The 20,934-nt window shown below is 45.0% G+C and overlaps 1 protein-coding gene and 1 long non-coding RNA gene across 26 annotated transcripts in view, besides 1 other annotated feature; one reads left to right on the forward strand and one right to left on the reverse strand.

Annotated features, from left to right (window-relative positions):
- ABAT (4-aminobutyrate aminotransferase) overlaps positions 1-20,934 on the forward strand; it is a 109,954-nt gene that overhangs the window by 61,412 nt on the left and 27,608 nt on the right. For 21 of the 24 annotated variants that reach the window (XM_047433688.1, NM_001386602.1, NM_020686.6 and 18 more), the window contains 3 exons: positions 9,973-10,070; positions 12,080-12,109; positions 14,394-14,511. The exons of 1 other annotated variant lie outside the window; for it this stretch is intronic. In XM_047433688.1, the coding sequence (XP_047289644.1) occupies positions 9,973-10,070; positions 12,080-12,109; positions 14,394-14,511 (246 nt within the window). Of the gene's footprint in view, positions 1-9,972; positions 10,071-12,079; positions 12,110-14,393; positions 14,512-15,241; positions 15,338-20,934 lie in introns of all 24 variants that reach the window. 2 more of the 24 variants (NM_001386615.1, NM_001386610.1) reach the window with 2 other exon arrangements.
- Positions 1,401-6,102, reverse strand: LOC107984840 (uncharacterized). Of its 2 annotated transcripts, XR_007064977.1 has the most exons (4): positions 4,211-6,102; positions 3,776-3,890; positions 2,333-2,513; positions 1,401-1,438 (listed from the first exon to the last, which is right to left on the reverse strand). It is a non-coding gene; the product is annotated as an uncharacterized LOC107984840 (long non-coding RNA). The 2 variants fall into 2 exon arrangements; XR_001752071.2 differs by having other exon boundaries at positions 3,776-6,102.
- Positions 15,323-16,067: an enhancer, noted in NCBI's record as "H3K4me1 hESC enhancer chr16:8845208-8845952 (GRCh37/hg19 assembly coordinates)". NCBI's record gives its function as "activates a minimal SCP1, AML or CMV promoter by ChIP-STARR-seq in naive H9 embryonic stem cells {active_cell/tissue: H9 hESC(naive)}" and the evidence as "EXISTENCE:reporter gene assay evidence [ECO:0000049][PMID:30033119]".

The raw sequence follows: 20,934 nt of genomic DNA on the forward strand, positions 1-20,934 counted from the left end.
TATGGCTGGGGAGGCCTCACAATCATGGCGGAAGGTGAAGGAGGAACAAAGGCACGTCTTACATGGCTACAGGCAAGAGAGCATGTGCAGGGGAACTCCCGTTTGTAAAAACATCAGATCGTGTGAGACTTACTCAATTGACTATCATGAGAACAGCATGGGAAAGACCCACCCCCATGATTCAATTACCTCCCACTGGGTCCCTCCCATGACGTGGGAATTATGGGAGCTATGATTTAAGATGAGATTTGAATGAGGACACAGCCAAACCACATCACCCACTATCCATAAAACTGTCACCATCGCCACCTCCTTTCTCTCTCCCATCTCTGTCATATGATCCTGTCCCAAGTGCCTCGGTCTGATGGGATTGGATCCACCCTGGAGCCACTCTGCCTGCAGGTAGGCGGTGGCCTCCACAGCCAGATGGCCCCAGGCCATCTCTGCAGGGACCGCTGGGGAAAACACACATCTGGGATCGCTGCTAAGGAACAAAGAAAGCCATAAGCGACTCTGAAATTGACCTAGAGCCCAGCTGTGCTTCAGGGTCACTGGATCACTGGATGGGAGGCACCATCTTAGGAATGTCTCACCCCCACTCTGCCCCACACCCATGGCCACTTGCACTGGCTCCTTCTTCCTTCTGTTTGACGTCTTTGAGACCTCCCTCCCAATAGTCCCATGAGGGAGGGAGGCTCAAGTGAATCCTATTTTACAGGTGAGAGAACTCAGGCTTAGAGAAGCAAAGCCATTTGCCCAAGGTCACACAGCCACTTGCAAGCAACTCTGTCCGGCTCCAATGCTAACTACTCCTCCGTGTGCCTCCATGTGGCTCTGGAGACAGAGCCGCCAGCAGGAGCCTCCCTTCACATGCCCCGAGAGTGGCCTCCTGCAGAGATATAAAGTGCCTGGCTCGGGGCTGGCCATGAAATAGGTTCAGAAAGACCAGTGAGCCTCCAGCCTGTCCCCAGCTCTCTCACAGCCCCTGTGCTTGTCATCATGGTGTCCCTTGTTGGCAGGCCTTACTGCCTTCTGAAGACAAACTGCTAGCCGTGTCCTTGGTCTGCATGTTGAATGCTGGTGTGTATGTCCTGGGTGGCATAAACAGTAGGAGCGTTCGCCCCTCCCCAAGGAGTATGAGTAGGCTTTATTTTAAAATAAACATCTTGGCCGGGCGCAGTGGCTCACAACTGTAATCCCAGCACTTTGGGAGGCGAGGTGGGCAGATCACCTGAGGTCAGGGGTCGAGACCAGCCTGGCCAACATGGTGAAACCCCGTCTCTACCAAAAATACAAAAATTAGCCAGGTATGGTGGTGGATGCCTGTAATCCCAACTACTCAGCAGGCTGAGGCAGGAGAATCGCTTGAATCCAGGAGGTAGAGGTGGCAGTGAGCTGGATCGTGCCACTGTACTCCAGCCTGGGCAACATCGAGGCTCTGTCTCAAAAAAATAAAAAATAAATAAATAAACATCTTATTTTTTAAAAATTTTAGATTTACAGAGAAGTTACAAAGATATTACAGGGAGAACCCATATGGCCCTCACCAGTTTCCTCCCTTGTTAACATCTTACATCACCAAGATGCAGTTGTCAACACTAAGAAACTAGCTGGCCAGGCGCGGTGGCTCACGCCTATAATGCCAGCACTTTGGGAGGCCGAGGCAGGAGGATCATCTGAGGTCAGAAGTTCGAGACCAGCCTGGGCAACATGGTGAAACCTCATCTCTACTAAAAATACAAAAAAAAAATTAGCCGGGTGTGGTGGCAGGCACCTGTAATCCCAGCTACTTGGGAGGCTGAGGCAGAAGAAGCACTTGAACCCAGAAGGCGGAGGTTGCAGTAAGCTGAGATTGAGCCACTGTACTTCAGCCTGGGCAACAGACTGAGATTAAAAAAAAAAAAAAGAAAGGAAAGGAAGAAAGGAAGGAAGGAAGGAAGGAAGGAAGGAAGGAAGGAAGGAGGAAAGAAAGAAAGAAAGAAAGAAAGGAAAGAAAGAAAGAAGGACAGACAGACAAGACAGTGGCTCACAGCTGTAACCCCAGCAATTTGGGAGGCTGAGGCAGGAGGATCGCTTGAGCCCAGGGGTTTGAGACCAGCCTGGGCAACATAGGGAGACCCTGTCTCTGTGAAAAATACAAAACTTAGCTGGGCATGGTGACATGTGCTTGTAGTCTCAGCTACTGGGGAGGCTGAAGCGGGAGGATTGCTTGAGCCTGGGAGATCGAGGCTGCAGTGAGCCATGATCATGCCACAGCACTCCAGCCTGGGTGGCCTTGTCTTAAAATAATAATAATAGATAAATAAGTTTTTAAAGACACTAAGAAACTGACCTTGGTATGTTACCATTAACCAAACTCCAGACTTTTATTTGGCTTTCACTCATTTTTCCTTTAATGTCTTTTTCTGCTCCAGGATCCAATCCAGGTACACACATTGCATTGATTTGTCTCATCTTCCATGGCCTCCTCTGGTCTGTGACAGTTTCTCAGTCTTTTCCTTATTCTTCTCGACCTGGGTGGTTTTAAGAAGTTATCAATGGCTTTTGAGGTTTTGCTTTTCCTTTTTTCTTTTTTGTTTTTGTTTTTGTTTTTGTTTTTGTTTTTTTTTTGGTGTGTGTGTATGTGTGTCTGAGATGGAGTCTCACTCTGTTGGCCAGGCTGGAGTGGTGCCGTGGTGCAATCTCGACTCACTGCAACCTCCACCTCCCGGATTCAAGTGATCCTCCTGCCTCAGCCTCCCAAGTAGCTGGGATTACAGGCACCTGCCACCATGCCCGGCTAATTTTTATATTTTTTGTAGAGACAGGGTTTTACCATGTTGGCCAGGCTAGTCTCCAACTCCTGACCTCAAGTGATCCACCCATCTTGGCCTCCCAAAGTGTTAGGATTACTGGCATGAGCCACTGCACCTGGCCAAGGTTTTGCTTTATTTATTTATTTATAAGAGAAGCATATTAATGTTTACCCATAATTATGCTAAACTAAATCAGAAAGATGTAGGTATGGAGGGTTCCAAGTCAGAAAGAGAGTCTGGCACAGATGATCCATTCATTCCATAACTAAGGCTGTTGGGCACCTACTGCATGCCAAGTGCTGTGCTGGGTATTAAGGATGTGGCAGTGAAGAAAGACATGTGGCTCTTGTGGAGCTCTAGCCTGGTGGCGCATGTGGCACCATCTTTAAAGGTCATTCTCCAGGACATCTGAGCTTTCCTAAGGAGACACCATGGGAAGAGCACTAGGTCAAGATTCATGTGATTGGATTGCTACCTTCACCACACATTAACCAAGTGAGCCTAACCGATATACCTTATCCAAGCCTCGGTTTTCTCATCAGGAAAACGGGTCTAATAATCATATCCTTCCTATTTCACAAATTTCTTGCATTAGAAGAAATGGTTCATATGGGCCAGGCACAGTGGCCCACACCTGTAATACCAACACTTTGGGAGGCTGAGGCGGGTGGATCACCTGAGGTCAGGAGTTCAGGACCAGCCTGGCCAACATGATGAAACCCCGTCTCTACTAAAAATACAAAAATTAGCTGCGCATGGTGGTGTGCACCTGTAATCCCAGCTACTTGGGAGGCTGAGGCAGGAGAATGGGTTAGAACCCAGGAGGCGGAGGTTATGGTTCATGTGAAAGCACTTTATTTGTATTTACAGTAAGGTGGGAAGTGTCCTAACTCCCATTTTACAAGCATGGAAATACAGGCACAATGCAAAAAACAAAAAAACAGAAAAAATAGAAATGGCTAAATCACAGAGTTTCTTACCTTTACCTCTTCTGCATTTTCTTGGCTGGAGCTGAATCTTTTTTGGCACATTTATGATTTAGAAAACCATATGGTGAGATTTTGTCTTCTCTTTTGACTTATTGATTTGGGATATCTAGTAAGCCAGAATATGGTTTTTTAAGAATACTAAAACACAGTGTTGGCAAAGATACAGGAATACGTGTACTCTCGTACACTGCTATTAGGCAAGTAGCAACCAGGGGAAGGATTAAAAAATGATAGGAATTACAGCTTACTTTTAACCCATTTAGCCCTCACCTCCACTCCTTAAGGTAAAGGAAACTTCAAGTCAGGGAAATTAAGTTGCCAGAGCCACAGAGCTGATGAGCGGCTGAGCCAGGCTTTTGAGCTAAGCCCAGTTGGCTCCAGGACCCGAGCCACTGTATTGATTATCTGCCGCCACGTAACACATACCTCCAGATTTAGCAGATTGGGATCCTATGTTTATTATCTCACAGTTTCTGCGGGTTGGGACTCCAGGGGTGACTTAGCCAGATCCTCTGGCTCAAGGTCTGTCATGAGGGTGTAATGGAGCTGTCAGCTGGGGCTGTGGTCTCATATGATGGCTCAACTTGGCGGTTGGACGATCTACTGGCAGTCCCACTTACGGGGTTGTGGCTGGATTCAGTTCCTTGGATGCTGTCAGCCAGAAGCCACTCTCAGTTCCTTGATACGTGGACCTCTTCACAGAGCCGCTTACAATGTGGCAACTGCTCCCTCAAAGCAAGAGAGGGTGCCAAAAATGGAAGCCTCAGCCTGCAGCCATACCCACAGCATTTTCCTGCTTCTCCATGGTGTCTCCACCAGGTCCCTGTGAGGCCATTAAAGTGACGATAGTTAACGATCTGACATGGTGTTCCCAATGGCATCATTTTATGCCTCCCCAAAATTAATAATCTTATGTTGGTAAATAGAATACAGAGAGTGGGAGACCACATCAAAATTGTTATTGCTGGGTAGAAAATTAAATGTGTTTTCTTTTTTCCATGTTGCTTATTGGTATCTTCCTCAATAAACATTTTATCACAAAATAAGTGGGGTGGACAGTTGCAGGAGCAGATAAAAAAAATTTTTTAACAGAAAAGCAGAGCAAACAACTCCAGTTGGACTTGACCTTCGTTCTGGCCAGGCTCATGTACAGAGCTTTGGCTGTTTGGGAACACGACATTCGTTTATCACTCTCGGTCTAAAGATCAAGAGAACATTAACAATGTTTGCTAGCTACTGTGTAGTTTGGAGCTAAAAATAGACTCTGGCTTGGCATGGCCATTGAGGGCTGTGAGCCCCAGAGGGCCAGGCTGGATGGACCATTCACATATTGTGTCTGGTCTTGTGTGTCAATAACATACTCTTGCCTTCTGGATGTGTTATTTTATTCAAGAATGAAAATGCTTGATCATTCAGTATTAATTCAAACCGGTTTTTTGCATCTTTGTGATCATGATCAAAATTTGCCTTTAGGAGAAGTGTGTTGTTTTGCTGCAAATGTTTCATTCAAAGGCTAGCACTCGATGAAATCAAAGATAGCCTCAGTTCCATTCATAGCTTCTAGGAAACAGGTCAGATGGGCAAATTTCCTGCTAACCACTTGCTAGCTGTGTGATCTTGGGCAAATTAATTAACCTCTCTGAGCCTCAGCGTCTTCTTCTGTAATGTAAGAATAATAACATTTACCTCATAGGAGTTTGTGAGAATTAAATGAGATAAGCCATGTAAATTGCTCCAGATGATTCCTGGTTGTTACCCTAAGTGCTCAGTACACACTTGAATCTGCTTCTGTGTCTTCATAGATGAGATCCAAGAGAAGGTTTACTTGTCCCTTCAATTTTTGTTCTGTTCTCTTGTGGTGTATTGTTATATGTCATCATTAAGAGAATATTCATTGTAATAGTATTTGGTTATTTTCCTTTTTTAAAAATGCCAACATTGAGATATAGAAGGAAAAGCAGAAGTATTGGGATTGCAAGAACCTGGGTTCCAATGCTGACTCTTCAACTCACTAGCTGTGTGACATCGGGAAAGTCACTTAACATCTCTGATCCTCAACTGTAAACTGTGAACAACAATACTATCTATATGGTTGTATTTAATTGTGGATTACTTAAAATAGATGGAAGTTTGCCTAAATAGGGCCAGCCTAGCATTTTAGTAAAGACTGAATATGTGTTAATTTCCCCATTCCCCCCCTTTCTGATAGCGCAGTTGCAAACAAACTTATGGAAAACATGATAGGAGCTGATACAGTTCTCGGAACAGACCCATCTGCCTTGGACCTGTCCTCAGCATTCCTGGCTTGTGCCCCATAGCGCCCAGTTAGCCAGTTCTCACCCTTTCTTCACCACCTCTCCCAGCTCCTGTTTCCCCATGGCCTTGACATGCTCATTATCGCAGTTCCACTTGATCCCACGCTCTCCAGTCATTTCTCTCTGGATCCATTCAGCCGCAGCTCCCCCTGTGTACTGCTCCCATTCCCAGTATTTCCACACTCCGGTTCCCAAGAAATCTGATTGCTACAATGCAATGTCAAGACACTTTCTGGAGAAAAGAAAGGAGGACGCGTGTGTCCTCATTTAAGAACAGCTTGCTAATTTCTGATTTTTCATTTTCCCCCTTTGCTGGAAACAAAGCAAGATCTGCACTGGTGAAGAGCTATTTTTATCAAAATATGCGTCCCTGAAGATCTAGTTGGAATCAATGCTGTCCAGTTATCCTGAGTTCTGGCAAAGGAAAAGATAAATAGTTTAGTGTAAAAAACTAGGGCCGGGTACGGTGGCTTATGCCTGTAATCCCAGCACTTTGGGGGGCCAAGGCGGGTGGATTGCCTGAGCTCAGGAGTTCCAGACCATCCTGGGAAACATGGCAAAACCCCTTCTCTGCCAAAAATGCAAAAAATTAGCCGGGCATGGTGACGCATGCCTGTGATCCCAGCTACTCAGGGGGCTAAGGTGAGAGGATTGCTTGAAACCGGGATGCAGAGGTTGCAATGAGCTGAGATCGCACCACTGCATTCCGGCTTGGGCGACAGAGTGAGACCCTGTCTCAAAAAAAAAAAAAAAAAAAAAGTAGCCGGGCGCAGTGTTGTGTGCCTGTAGTCCTAGCTACGTGGGAGGCTGAGGCAGGAGGATCACTTGAGCCCAGGAGTTCAACGCCAGGCTGGGCAACATAGCGAGACCTCATTTCTTTAAAAAAAAAAAAAAAAAAAAGTCATCGATATGTTCTAGGACCTTTAGCTCTCTTCTAATGGAATACTTTTAGGAATTCCCTTTTTCAGATCAAAGAGAAGAAAATAAAAGCTGTTTTTCTTCATCCTTATATAAGTATAGTGCTGTATTTTAACGGTACTTTATGTTCAAAAGACAGCATGATGTTACATAATTAATTCAGAAACCTTCTTTGATAACCAAAGCAATTATGGAAAATTAAGAGTGATTTTAAATATGTTTCAAAATCTCATAGCTTTGTATAGTTCGACAAGCTATCTGCATGTGTGTCTCTGTGTGTGTGTGTGTGTGTGTGTGTGTGTGTGTGTCACGGGAGATCTTGGCACATTTCTTAACTTCTCTGAGCTTTAGAGTCCCCTCTTGTGTAATGGAAACAGTTATATATATATATATATATATACACACATTTTATAATATATTATATAATATATATTTTAGTTATAATGTATTATATAATATATATTTTAGTTATAGTATATAATATGTATTTTAGTTATAATATATTATGTAATATATACTTTAGTTTTAATATATAATATATTTTAGTTGTAATATATAATATATATTTTAGTTATATGATATATATTTTAGTTATAATATATAATATATATTTTAGTTATAATATGTTATATATTTTAGTTATAATATATATTTTAGTTATATATGTAGTTATATAATATATATTTTTGTTTATTATATATATGAAGATGAAATTAGATTATTTATGTAATTTATATAAAGTGTCCACTGATTCCCTAGTTTGGTACAATTATGGCAACCCCAGTAAGAGGAACTAACATTTCCCAACCACCAAATAGTACCAGGAAGGTGAAAGATCAAGAGTAACACTGAAGGGATTTCTAGGGGTTCCTGACAGTAAACCCTCACACACTTGTCTTGGATACACCGCACCTGTCTTTCACTCAGGGATCAGCAAGGCTTGGGCTTGAGCTACCCTTTGTGTTTCAGCAACATGTGGAGCTAAAAAGATTGTGGGATTCACCCGGGAAATCAAACACCCTCTGTAAACTCATTACACATTATGTGGAAAATGTGAAATGCATTCAAACAAATGATGGGTGACCATGTATTAGTCTGTTCCCGCAATGCTACAAAAAAAAATACCTGGGATTGGGTAATTTTTAAAGAAAAGAGGTTTAATTGGCTCATGGTTCTGCAGGCTTTACAGGAAGCATGATGCTGGCATGTGCTCAGCTTCTGGGGAGGCCTCAGGAAACTTCCAATCATGGTGGAAGGCAAAGGGCAAGCGAGGTGCCTCACATGGTAGGAATAGGAGCAAGAGAGCAAGCAGGGAGGAGCCACACATTTTTTTTTCTTTTGAGATGGAGTCTCGCTTTGTTACCCAGTCTGAAGTGCAGTGGCACAATCTTGGCTCACTGCAGCCTCTGCCTCCTGGGTTCAAGCGATTCTCATGCCTCAGCCTCCCTAGTAGCTGGGATTACAGGTGCCTGCCACCACACCCGGCTAGTTTTTATATTTTTGATAGAGACGGGATTTCGCCATGTTGGCCAGGCTGGTCTTGAACTCCTGACCTCAGGTGATCCACCTGCCTGAACCTCCCAAAGTGCTGGGATTATAGGTATGAGCCACGGTGCCCAGCCAGCCACACACTTTTAAACAACCAGACCTCAGCCAGGCTAAAAATACTAAAATTAGCCGGGTGTAGTGGTAGGCACCTGTAATCCCAGCTACTTGGGAGGCCGAGGCAGGAGAATCACTTGAACCTGGGAAGCAGATGTTGCAGTGAGCCCAGATCGTGTCTCTGCATGCTAATACCATGGGCATCTTTCCATATCCACAAATATTTAAGATGTCAACCTCAAAACAATTAATGGGTGCATAATATTCCATGAAATGGTTGACTATGCCACATTCTGCTTAGCTGACCTCCGGTGCTGGACATGTAGGTTGTTTTCCCTTTGTTTTTTGTTTGTTTGTTGAGACAGCGTCTCACTCTGTTGCCCAGGCTGAAGTGCTGTAATCATGGCTCACTGCAGCCTCAACCTCTCAGGCTGAAGCAATCCTCCCACCTCAGCCTCCCAAGTAGCTGGAACTAAAGGCATGTACCACCACGCCCAGCTAATTTTTGTTTTGTGGTAGAGATGGGGTTTCACCACGTTGCCCAAGCTGGTCGTGAACTTCTGAGCTCAAGGGATCCACCCACCTTCGACTCCCAGAGTGCTGGGATTACCGGAATGAGCGACCCCATCTGGCCCTCTTTGCTGTTAAATAGACAATATATGATGAATATTGTCTACCTCCATCTTTGTGTACTGGTCCCATTATTTTCTTAGGATGAATCATAAAAACGAGATTACTCAGTTGAAAGCAATAGAAAGCTGGCATCAGATCAGGCATGGTGGCTCACACCTGTAATCCCAGCACTTTGGGAGGTCAAGGCAGGTGGATTGCTTGAGCCCAGGAGTTTGAGGCCAGCCTGGGCAACATGGCGAAACCCCGTCTCTACTAAAAATACCAAAATTAGCCAGGCATGGTGGTGCGTGCCTGTAATCCCAGGTACTCAGGAGGCTGAGGCAGAAGGATCAACTGAGCCTTTGGAGGTCAGGGGTGCAGTGAGCCTTGTTGGGGCCAATGCACTCCAGCCTGGGCAATAGAGCAAGACTCTGTCTCAAAAAAAAATGAATAAATAAATACAAAGAAAGCTGGCATCAGCTTGTACTCATGCCAGTAAAACAGGAGCATGCCTATTTGCCTACAACTTTGCTGACACTGGGTTTTCCCTTTTTTAAAATCTACAGTGTCCTTGTGGTGGCCCAGTTGGTCTGTCCAGACACAGTGTTCTGGGGTGGTCTGGCTGGGATGAGGCTAAGGTCCTGGCACTACCTCTGTTAGGGACATTGGGCATCTGTCAGGGCAGAATCCTCATGATCTCTGCTGTCACCAGGGATTTCTCATTGTCTTTGTTTACTGCAGGATCCAGACACATTAGTCAAGCTGCAGCCAAAGTCGACGTTGAATTTGATTATGATGGGCCTCTGATGAAGACGGAAGTCCCAGGGCCTAGATCTCAGGTGAGTTGAGCACACCTGAGTGGGGTATTTTGGAAAAGGGAAAAAGGCGCCTAAGAAGCAAAAGCACAGCCAAGCTTAGGGACCTGTATTGATTGTCAGCTGCTTTCAGAGAGTTCACCACCAGAGATCTGAGATACTCAATGAGGCCATTTTGCCATACAAAGCCAAAGAAGGGCTGGGCGCGGTGGCTGACGCTGTAATCCCAACACTTTGAGAGGTTGAGGCGGGCGGATCACTTGAGGTCAGGAGTTCAAGACCAGCCTGGCCAACATACTGAAACCCTGTCTGTACTCAAAATACAAAAATTAGCCAGGAGTGATGGCGGTTGCCTGTAGTCCCAGCTACTCGGGAGGCTGAGGCAAGGGAATCACTTGAATCTGGGAGGCAGAGGTTGCAGTGAGCCTCCTGAGTAGCTGGGATTTTAGGCACGCACCACCACGCCTGGCTAATTTTGGTATTTTGAGTAGAGACAGGGTTTCACTATGTTGGCCAGGCTGGTCTTGAAGTCCTGACCTCAAGTGATCCACCCGCGTCAACCTCTCAAAGTGTTGGGATTACAGGCGAGATGGTGCCTCTGCACTCCAACCTGGGCAGCAGAGCAAGACTCTGTCTCAAAAAAAAAAAAGAAAAAGAAGCCAACGAGGGCATCACAGAGGAGATGTATCAGTTTTCTCCTACCACAGTAATGCTTCATAACAAACAGCCACAAAAATCCCACTAGCATAGAGCAAGCCAATTGCTCGTGCATTTAAGGTTCATTGGGAGTTGGGTAGACAGCTCTGTTGAGCAGACAGCTCTGTTGGGCTCACCTCCATGCCTGGGGGACAGCTGGCTGTTGGTTGATCTAGGTTAGGCGTGGCTTGAATCACTGCAGTGATTTGGTTCTGCTCCATGTGTCTGCCATGCTCCAGAAGGCTAGATGGGGCTTGTCCTCATGGCAATGGCAAAGGTGTACAAAAGCAAGAGGAGAACATGGTATAGTTCTGCTGAGGCCTGGGTTCCGCATGGGTCCGCCATCACTGCTGCCTCCTTCTGCTGGCCAAAGCCAGTCATAGCTTGCCTTAAGTCCAGAGTCAAGGGCTGGGGTACAACATCCAAACAACAGTGAAAGAACATGGCAATGTTACATGGCACAGGGCTCAGAGATCAAATGCCCACCTTTCTAATGCAAATTTATTTTTTCTTTGCACATTTTGCATATTTTGTCCATAATGTCTTTTTTTTACTGTCAAAACATACTTCTTTTGTCATTGCAACTATTTTATAAATCCAGAAATCTTTGTACTAATATAAGTGATTGTAGTTATTTTGGATAGTGTTTTGCTAACAAAACGGGAGACATTTTAAATGCATGTTTCTATTGGGGAGATAGATTTTAATCTAGTAGTAGTAAAATTCTTGGAATACTTTTTCATATTCTTGTCATGAATATTATCCTGTATTTTTATTGGAAATATATAATTTTATGACACTAACTGCTAACATCTATTTTATATTGAATTACTTTTGGAATTGAAATCTTTGTAATATCAAAGCGGCTAGTTTCTAATTCCCTGTTTCTGTATAGGATAAAGTACAAGTGGTTTATGGAGTGTTTGGATTATAATTATAAATGGTTCTTTGATATGCAAGTTAATATTTTCAGTTATTTATATTCTTAATGAAGTGTTAACACCTTTTTTCCCCTAAATAACAGAGAATCTGTTTTTATGGACACTAGATAAACACCTTCAGCTTAAGATTTTCTTGCTAAATATTTTAGTTTATTTTATCTTTCAGGTGGCTGAATTTCCAGCCTGTCTATCGTACTAGTAATTTAAGCGTGTAATGGAATAGTTTCCTGCCAACTATTTATATCAAGTAATTTTAAAGTAATATGGTTGACTAATAAAATATTTAGTTATTGGCAAAAGAAAAAAATGCCAAGACTTGGGAAAACATGAAAGATTTTAAGCTATTTTGGCAAGAGTGTGGACTTGCTATAATGCTTTTGTTGTTCTTGCCTGCAGGAGTTAATGAAACAGCTGAATATAATTCAGGTAAGTGAGGAGGAGGTAACTTTCCTTCTGTTGCTTCTTTATCACAATTGAGCTAAAAGACAGATGCTTAATCTGTTCTGGCTCTTTTTTAAAAAAAATGTAGTTGACTTTTGTTCTAAACATTTTTTCTCATTTCCTTTGTGATTTCTTCTTTGACCCATTAGTTACTTACATGATGTTTAATTTCTACGCTTTGGTAAATTTCCCAAATTTCTTTCTGTTATTGATTTCTAGTTTCATTCCATTATGGTTGGAAACATATTTTTGTGATTTCAATCCTGTTAAATTTATTGAGCCTTTTTTTATGGCCTAGCGTATGGTCTAGCCTGGAGAATATTCCATATGTACTTGAGAAGAATCTATATTCTGCTGTTGTTGGGCAGAGTGTTCTATAGATGTTTCTTAGGTCTGGTTGCTTTTAGAATATTGTTCAAGTCTTCTATTTCCTTGCTAATCTTCTCCCTAGTTGTCCTATCCATTATGGAGTGCCAGATGTTGACATCTCCAACTATTATTATAAAATTGTTTTTCCCTTTGATTCTGTTTTTGTCTGTGTATTCAGGGCTCTGTTTTTGGGTGCAAATATGTTTATAATTGTCATATCTTCTTAGTGGATTGACCCTTTATAATATTCTCTCTTTCTCTCTAGTAATATTTTTATAGTCTATTTTTTCTGATATGAGTACAACCCCTTCTAGCTTTCTTATGGTTGCTGTGTGCATCAGATTCCTTTCTCCATCTTTTTACTTTCAAACTATTTGTGTTCTTGAATCTAAAGTGTCTCCTGTAAACAGCATCGAGTTGGTTCTTTTTATCCAGTCTGACAATCTCTGCCTTTTGATTGGATTGTTTCATCCATTCACAGTTAATGTTATTATTCATATGGTTGTGTTTACAGCTGCCATTTATTGTTGTTCTCTATATGTCTTCTGTCTTTTGTTCTTTTGTTCCTCTTTTTTTTTTTTTTTAGACGGAGTTTTGCTCTTATTGCCCAGGCTAGAGTGCAGTGGCGCAATCTCGGCTCACAGCAACCTCTGCCTTCCGGTTTCAAACAATTCTCCTGCCTCAGCCTCTCAAGTCACTGAGATTACAGGCACCCGCCTCCACACCCAGCTAATTTTTTTGTATTTTTAGTAGAGATGGGGTTTCACCACGTTGGTCAGGCTGGTCTCGAACTGCTGACCTCGTGATCCACCTGCCTCGGCCTCCCAAAGTGCTGGATTACAGGCGTGAGCCACCGCACCCGGCCTTTTTTTTTTTTTTTTTTTTTTTTTTTTTTGAGATGAAGTCTCACTCTGTCTCCCAGGCTGGTGTGCAGTGGCACAATCTCGGCTCACTGCAACATCCGCCTCCTGGGTTCAAGTGATTCTCCTGCCTCAGCGTCCCAAGTAGCTGGGATTACAGGTGCCCGCCACTATGCCCGGCTAATTTTTGTATTTTTAGTAGAGACAAGATTTCACCATGTTGAGGCTGGTTTCGAACTCCTCACCTCAGGTAATCCACCTGCCTCAGCTTCCCAAAGTGCTGGGATTACAGGCGTGAGCCACTGCACCCAGCCCTTTTGTTCCTCTTTTAATGTTTTTGTTTTTTATTTGAGATGGAGTCTCACTCTGTCGCCCCAGGTTGGAGTGTAGTGGCACAATCTAAGTTCACTGCAACCTCCGCCTCCCGGGTGCAGTGATTCTCCTGCCTCAGTCTTCTGAGTAGCTGGGATCACAGGCGTGCACCACCACGCCTGGCTAATTTTTGTATTTTTTAGTAGATACAGGGTTTCACCATGTTGCCCACGCTGGTCTTGATCTCCTGACTTCAAATGATCCACCTGCCTCGGCTTCCCAAAGTACTGGGATTACAGGCATGAGGCACTGCACTCAGCCCTCTTGTGATGTTACTCATTTTGCATTAAGTGAGTACTTTGCAGTGTAACATTTTTATTTCTTTAATGATTACTACATATTTTAGTTTTCTTTGAGTTTGCTCTAAGGTTTACCATACATATCTTAACAGAATCGACTTCAGATTTGTATCTCTTTTTTTGTTCTGATGTATAAAACACATACAGAAAAATTCATAAAAAATAAAATCACAGCTTACTGAACTATTATAAAGCAAACCACCCATGCACTTAGCCAAAACAAGAAATACATTGCTGGCACCCACAGATGCCTCTGTGTGTCCACAGATAGTCACGATATGGTGTACTTCACTGATTCAAGCTTAATCCTAAAAGCCCAAGAATCTAGGGAGTGGCAGTGAGCCTGAGTTGGTCTTTTCTTTCTCCAAGAATGCAGAGGCTGTGCATTTTTTCTGCAATTACGAAGAGAGCCGAGGCAATTACCTGGTTGATGTGGACGGCAACCGAATGCTGGATCTTTATTCCCAGATCTCCTCTGTCCCCATAGGTAAGAGCTGGGAAATCATTCCTTGGATATAACCTCTGTTTCTGTCTCTCCTAGTCGTGGCTATCCAGGTATTAGGATGTGGCTTCCAGCAGGCACATCCCAGAGTGTTGCCTGACACTTCACCCAAGGGTAGGAAAAAAATAAATAATGTGTAAAGGGTATATTATTAGACATATTATATGTCCTCTCTCATCTACTCCTTCCCCAAATTCCACAGGGTAAGTATGTATTAATATCCCCATTTTGCAGATAGGTAAACAAAGCATAGAAAGGTTTGGTACCTTGCGTAGGAATCATAGCTAGAATGCAAACCCATCTGTGTGACCACAGTGGCACCCAGGTAGGTGTCTTAGGTTGAGTTTCCTCGAAGAAGAGCCTGAGGTGGGGATTTCCTTTTTCCCTGCTTTTTTTTTTTTTTTTTTTTTTCCAGACGAAGTCTTGTTCTGTCGACCAGGCGGGAGTGAAGTGGCGTGATCTTGGCTCACTGCAACCTCTGCCTCCCGGGTTCAAGTGATTCTCATGCCTCAGCCTCCCAAGTAGCTGGGATTACAGGCACACGCCACCATGCCTATCTAATTTTTGCATTTTTAGTAGAGACGGGGTTTTACCATGTTGGCCAGGGTAGTCTAGAACTCCTGACCGCAAGTGATCTGCCTGCCTCAGCCTCCCACAGTGCTGGGATTACAGGTGTGAGCCACTATACCCAGCCTAATTTTTTTATTTTTTGTAGAGATGGTGGTCTCACTATGCGCTGCCCAGGCTGGTCTCGAACTCCTGGACTCAAGTGATCCTCCCACCTTGGCCTCCCAAAGTGCTAGGATTTCAGGTGTGAGCCACTGAACCCAGCCAGAGGTAGGGATTCTTGGGCAGGTTATTGATTGAGGGAGAGCTCTCAGGAGAAAGGGGAGGAAAGGAAACAGCCTGGGGCAGGGGGAATAAGCTAAGAAGGATGAGGTCTTAGCTAGAACTATCCACAGCCTGACCCCACTTCGGGCTCTGGTGCATACACCACACCCCAGAGTTGGTCTCAGACTGAAGCAAAGGGCCTGGCTTTTTATGACCCTTCACCAGCCAGTCATCGCCCATCAGCTGCGAGAGGGGAGAACTCGTATAATCTCCTCGGAAAAGTGGCTTCCATTTGCCAAGGGCGATTTTCCAGGCAAGGAGGCAGCTGGAGTTATTATCAATCAACACACACAGCAGCTGGAAAACGGTGACCTGCCCAGTAAAAGTGACCTCGGTGGGATGCCCACAGCGTCTGCCTCCCCAGCCTCGCCTCCCAGCCATATAGAGTGTTCACTCGCTGTATAAAAGGGCACACAGACAGGATGGACAGGGCTAAATTGGAAATGCAGGTAGCTGCTATTTGCAGCTTGGATGGTTAATGTTTCTTTGGCTGATGGATTCCTGGCTACATTGAGTAGTCCATAGGCTGTGTCTGATGAAGCCTGTCCCTTCACAGGTAATGCTGGTTCTTCTGCTGCAGAAGAGCCCGGGGCATCCTCCGCTCCCCATCAGCACCTCCCTTTGGACCCTGCTCAGAAGCCTGGAGCCTTTCCCTGAGACCCAGCCTTGGCTGTCCCCCCTCCTCTTCTTCCCCTGCTCATTTCCTCACACCTATTTATTTGCCACTAACATGAGATTAGACAGTAAGCGGATGACTCATTCTTTGGGGGAAGTCCATCATTCAGGAATGCCTCAGCTATGGAAGGCATTTTGGAGACAAGAATTTAAAAACCCCATCTCCCCTTTGTGTGGGAGTGGAAGGGATGGGCTCTTGAGTTGTCCTGGGTTCAAATCCTGGCTCTACTATATATTAGCTGTGGGACTGTGACCCACCCCCGAGGACTCCCTCAGTCTGAATGCCCAGCTAGCCACTGTGTGCATGAAGGTCAGGGAATCAGATTAGCAGCATTTGTTTAAAAAACTAGAAGTTTGGTCGGGCACGGTGGAGCACGCTGATAATCCCAGCACTTTGGGAGGCCAAGGGAAGAGGATTGTTTGAGGCCAGGAGTTTAAGACCAATCTGGGCATTATAGTGAGAACCAACCCCAATCTCTACAAAAGAGTTTTAAAAATTAGCTAGTCATGCTGGTGCATGCCTGTAGTCCCAGCTACTCTGGAGGCTCAGTCAGGAGGATCTCTGGAGCCCAGGAGTTTGAGGCTGCAGTGGGCTATGATCACTCCACTGCACTCCAGCCTGAGGCAACAGTGCAAGACCCTGTCTCAGTAAAAAACAAAAACAGAAAAATTCTAGAAGTTCTAAAAGTTCTCTCTCTGGCCACCTGTCCTCCCGTATCTGTAGTCTTTGAAAAGATTTTTTTAAGTTAATACTTATAGAGAATTTACTATGCACTTGGCATATTGCCAAGTGCCTTATACATTATCTCATTAAATGGCTACAGCCACCTTGGAGTAGGGTCTTCTAACATCACCTCCAGTTGACTGATGGGCCCGAGTCTCAAGAGCTTGCAGGATTTTCCTGGCATACACAGGGAGTCCAAGGCTAAGCCAGGCTGTGCACAAACAACTCTCTGCCTCCCAAGCTTATTCTTTTTTTTTTTTTTTTTTTTAGACGGAGTCTTGCTCTGTCGCCCAGGCTGGAGTGTAGTGGCATGATCTCGGCTCACTGCAAGCTCTGCCTCCTGGGTTCAAGCGATTCTCCTGCCTCAGCTTCCCAAGTAGCTGGGACTACAGGTGCCCACCATCATGCCTGGCTACTTTTTTTTGTATTTTTAGTAGAGACGGGGTTTCACCGTGTTAGCCAGGATGGTCTCGATCTTCTGACCTCGTGATCCACCCACCTTGGCCTCCCAAAGTGCTAGGAATACAGGCGTGAGCCACCGCGCCTGGCCCTCCCAAGCTTATTTCTATGGTAGCTGCCTTGCAGACGCCTGCCCCTGCCCTGCCCTGAAATGTGGGGGTCCCACAGCATAGAAAGCCCAAGGCAGGATTTCCCTGATCAGAGGGACCAGCTCCGCTTTCATCTCTTCTTCAGAAGCCAGTAAGGCACGCCACATCTGAGGCTTAATGAGGTCTACCTGGAACAGGCTTAGCTCTCCAAAGGCAGAAAAGTCATGAACACACAGGCAGTGGTGATAAGGAACCAGGACTTAAAGACCTTTGGCCCCGAAACAGTTGGAGAAACCCAGAGTGTTCCTTTCTTGAGTAAGGTGTACTTTTCAGTCTTGGGGCCAGCGTGTGTTGGAGTAGGATGGGGGAGTGCCAGGGATGAATGTTAACCACCTTGGTCCCCCTCCAAGGCTGTCTCATCCGTCTTCTCGACCAGACAGAGTGGAACCCCAAGGCATTTCAAATCACTTTCACTTTTCTATTCTATTAGCAGAAAGTCTCCCCTGGGTGATGCCAGGTCTTTAATACCTGTCTCCACTGGCTGATCTCTTACTGTGGAGGAGTGCGCGGCCCAGGCTCAGAGGCTTGGGCAGGCAACAGAAAGATTGTTCCTACTGCATTCAACCTCTGGCCACATTGACATAAAGTCTCCTTTCAAAGCAAATGTATTTGGATGGACACAGTGGCTCACGCCTGTAATCCCACACTTTGGGAAGCCAAGACAGGAAAATAGCTTGAGCTCAGGAGTTTGAGACCAGCCTAGCCAACATGTTGAAACCCTGTCTATAAAAAAAAAAAAAAAAAAAAAAAAAATTAGCCGGGCATGGTGGTGCATACCTGTAATCCCAGCTATTCGGGAGGCTGAAGTGGGAGGATTGCTTAAGCTAGGGAGGTTGAGGCTGCAGTGAGCCATGATTACACCACTGCACTCCAGCCTGGGCAACAGAGTGAGACCATGTCTCAAACAAAGAAAACAACAAAAAGAAAAGGTTCAAGGGGTGGATTCTGAGATTAGCCGGTGACTGGTAGAAGGAAGAGGGGGTGGTCTGGAAAGTCCTCAGGCATGGACAGTTATATCCATGCTACTGCAGCGATTGCATGTTCAAATTCAGCAGGAGTTAGTGTGAACCTTGTGGTGGAAATTCAGGCCATGATATCAGCAAGCTCGTTTTGCACAAACTCCATTTGACCATCTTGGTCCCAACAGATTTCAGCTCGTTTCTCCTTGATCTCATAAGCAGAGAGAGTTTCAGCATTTTCAGCAAGTTGATTTATTTATTTCTTTCTTTCTTTCTTTCTTTCTTTCTTTCTTTCTTTCTTTCTTTCTTTCTTTTTTTTTTCTTGAAAACGGAGTCCCATTCTGTTGCCCAGGCTGGAGTGCAGTGGCACAATCTCAGCTCACTACAACCTCTGCCCCCCTGGTTCAAGCGATTCTCCTGCCTCAGCCTCCCAAGTAGCTGGGATTACAGGCACCTGCCACCACGCTGGGCTAATTTTTGTATTTTTAGTAGAGATGGGGTTTCACCATGTTGGCCAAGCTGGTATCAAACTCCTGAGCTGAAGTGACCCACCTGCCTCGGCCTCCCAAGTGAGATTCCTTTCTTATCTGCTATTCTTCAAACTCGAGAATTTCTGTTAGTTACTGGCTTCTTACTCTTTGGGGCACAGTTTCAGCTTTTCAGCACGTTCTTTCTTTCTTTTCTCTGCTTTCCTGTAAGCCCAAGAATATAGTCGTTGATTCGTTTTTGTTTTTTTTTAACTCTCTGAGGCATGGTGTCAAGTCCTGGTTGGCCCCACTGGCTGCCATGGGTGTACTAACCCTGAGGTGGGTCTCCTACGCCTCCCTCCCTCTGGTCTTCTCGACAGGGAGGTCCAGGTGCAACCACAAAGTGTCCCGGGCCTGTGGAGTGGCATCACCATGGACAGGGGACTCTGTGTAGGAGGCAGAGGTGGGAATGAGCATTGTCCACCATCACTGGCCACAGAGGTGATGTGGCCACTTCCCAGGGCTTCAAGACACATGAAAGTGAGGATGCATTCATCAGGGTGAGAGCTGTGATTTTTAGAAACTCAAGTCAAACAAATGAGGTCGGCTGCTGAGTTCTTTTCTCAGAGAGAGACCCTGCTGCCCTGTTGTGCTCCAACCTTATGTGTAATTATCTCCCAGTACTGACTGGGAGATGACCTGCAGGGCAGGTGCATTAATAACCAGGAGATAGACAATGGCTTGACTTCAGGCCGGGTTCGGTGGCTCACACCTGTAATCCTAGCACTTTGGAAGGCCGAGGTGGGTGGATCACTTGAGGGCAGGAGTTCAAGACGAGCCTCGCCAACATGGCAAAACCTCATATCTACTAAAAATACAAAAAAATTGTGGCTGGGTACGGTGACTACCGCCTGTAATCCCAGCACTTTGGGAGGCCGAGGTGGGTGGATCACGAGGTCAGCAGATTGAGACCATCCTGGGTAACACGATGAAACCCCGTCTCTACTAAAAATACAAAAAATTAGCCAGGCGTGGTGATGGGCGCCTGTAGGCCCAGCTACTCGGGAGGCTGAGGCAGGAGAATGGCGTGAACCCAGGAGGCGGAGCTTGCAGTGAGCCGAGATTGCTCCACTTCACTCCAGCCTGGGCAACAGAGCGAGACTCTCTCTCAAAAAAAAAACAAAATTAGCCAGGCATGGTGGCACACACCTATAAACCCAGCTACTCCGGAGGCTGAGGCACGAGACACGAGAATCGCTTGAACCTGGGAGGCAGAGGTCACAACGAGCCACGATTGTGCCACTGCACTCCAGCCTGGGCAACAAGGCAAGACTCTGCTGAAAAGAAGAGGGGAGGGGAAGGAATGGGAGCTTGACTTGTTAGGGGAGGCCAACATGCGATAGAATGGTTAAGAATGTCTTTCAAAAAGCCCTAGAAGATTACAACAATCTTGCTTGAGTTTAACATAACTACAGAGTAATTCTTATTAATTAACGTCAAACATTTTTATTTTAATTTTTTTCTTTTTTTATTTCTTCTTTTTAAAAAAAAGGGATACATGTGTAGAACCTGCCGGTTTGTTACATAGGTAAACGTGTGCCATGGTGGTTTACTGCACCTATTGTCTCGTTATTTTAATTTTAATAGAGTGGGGACCAGTGCCTTTCCTAAGCCTAATCCCCATCTCAATTCCTCTCTCAGAAGCAACCTGCTTCTTCTAGAGAGATACTCAGTGCGTGCGTAAGCATACACATATCCTGTGTCTCTCCTTCTTCACTTAGCAGATCTCAGAGATTATTCTAACTCAGCACAAATAAATCTCTCTCACCCTTTTCTACAGCTGATTCGTTACATTAGAAGGCTTATTTCCCTGACCCACTACTGATGGATGTTAGGTTGCTTTCAAGTCTTGAGATATGAGAGTGTCACAATTAAGATCCATGCTCATAGATCTTTATACACACTGGTAGGATAAATTCATAGAAGAGCAATTGCTGAATCCGAGTGTGCTAAGCCTTGTTGTGCAATGTCAGGCCCAGTCTGGATGGTAAATGCTGTAGGACTCTGGGAATAAGCAGATGTGT

The sequence above is a fragment of the Homo sapiens genome, chromosome 16, assembly GCF_000001405.40.
Source record: "Homo sapiens chromosome 16, GRCh38.p14 Primary Assembly".
NCBI classification, from domain to species: Eukaryota; Metazoa; Chordata; class Mammalia; order Primates; family Hominidae; genus Homo; species Homo sapiens.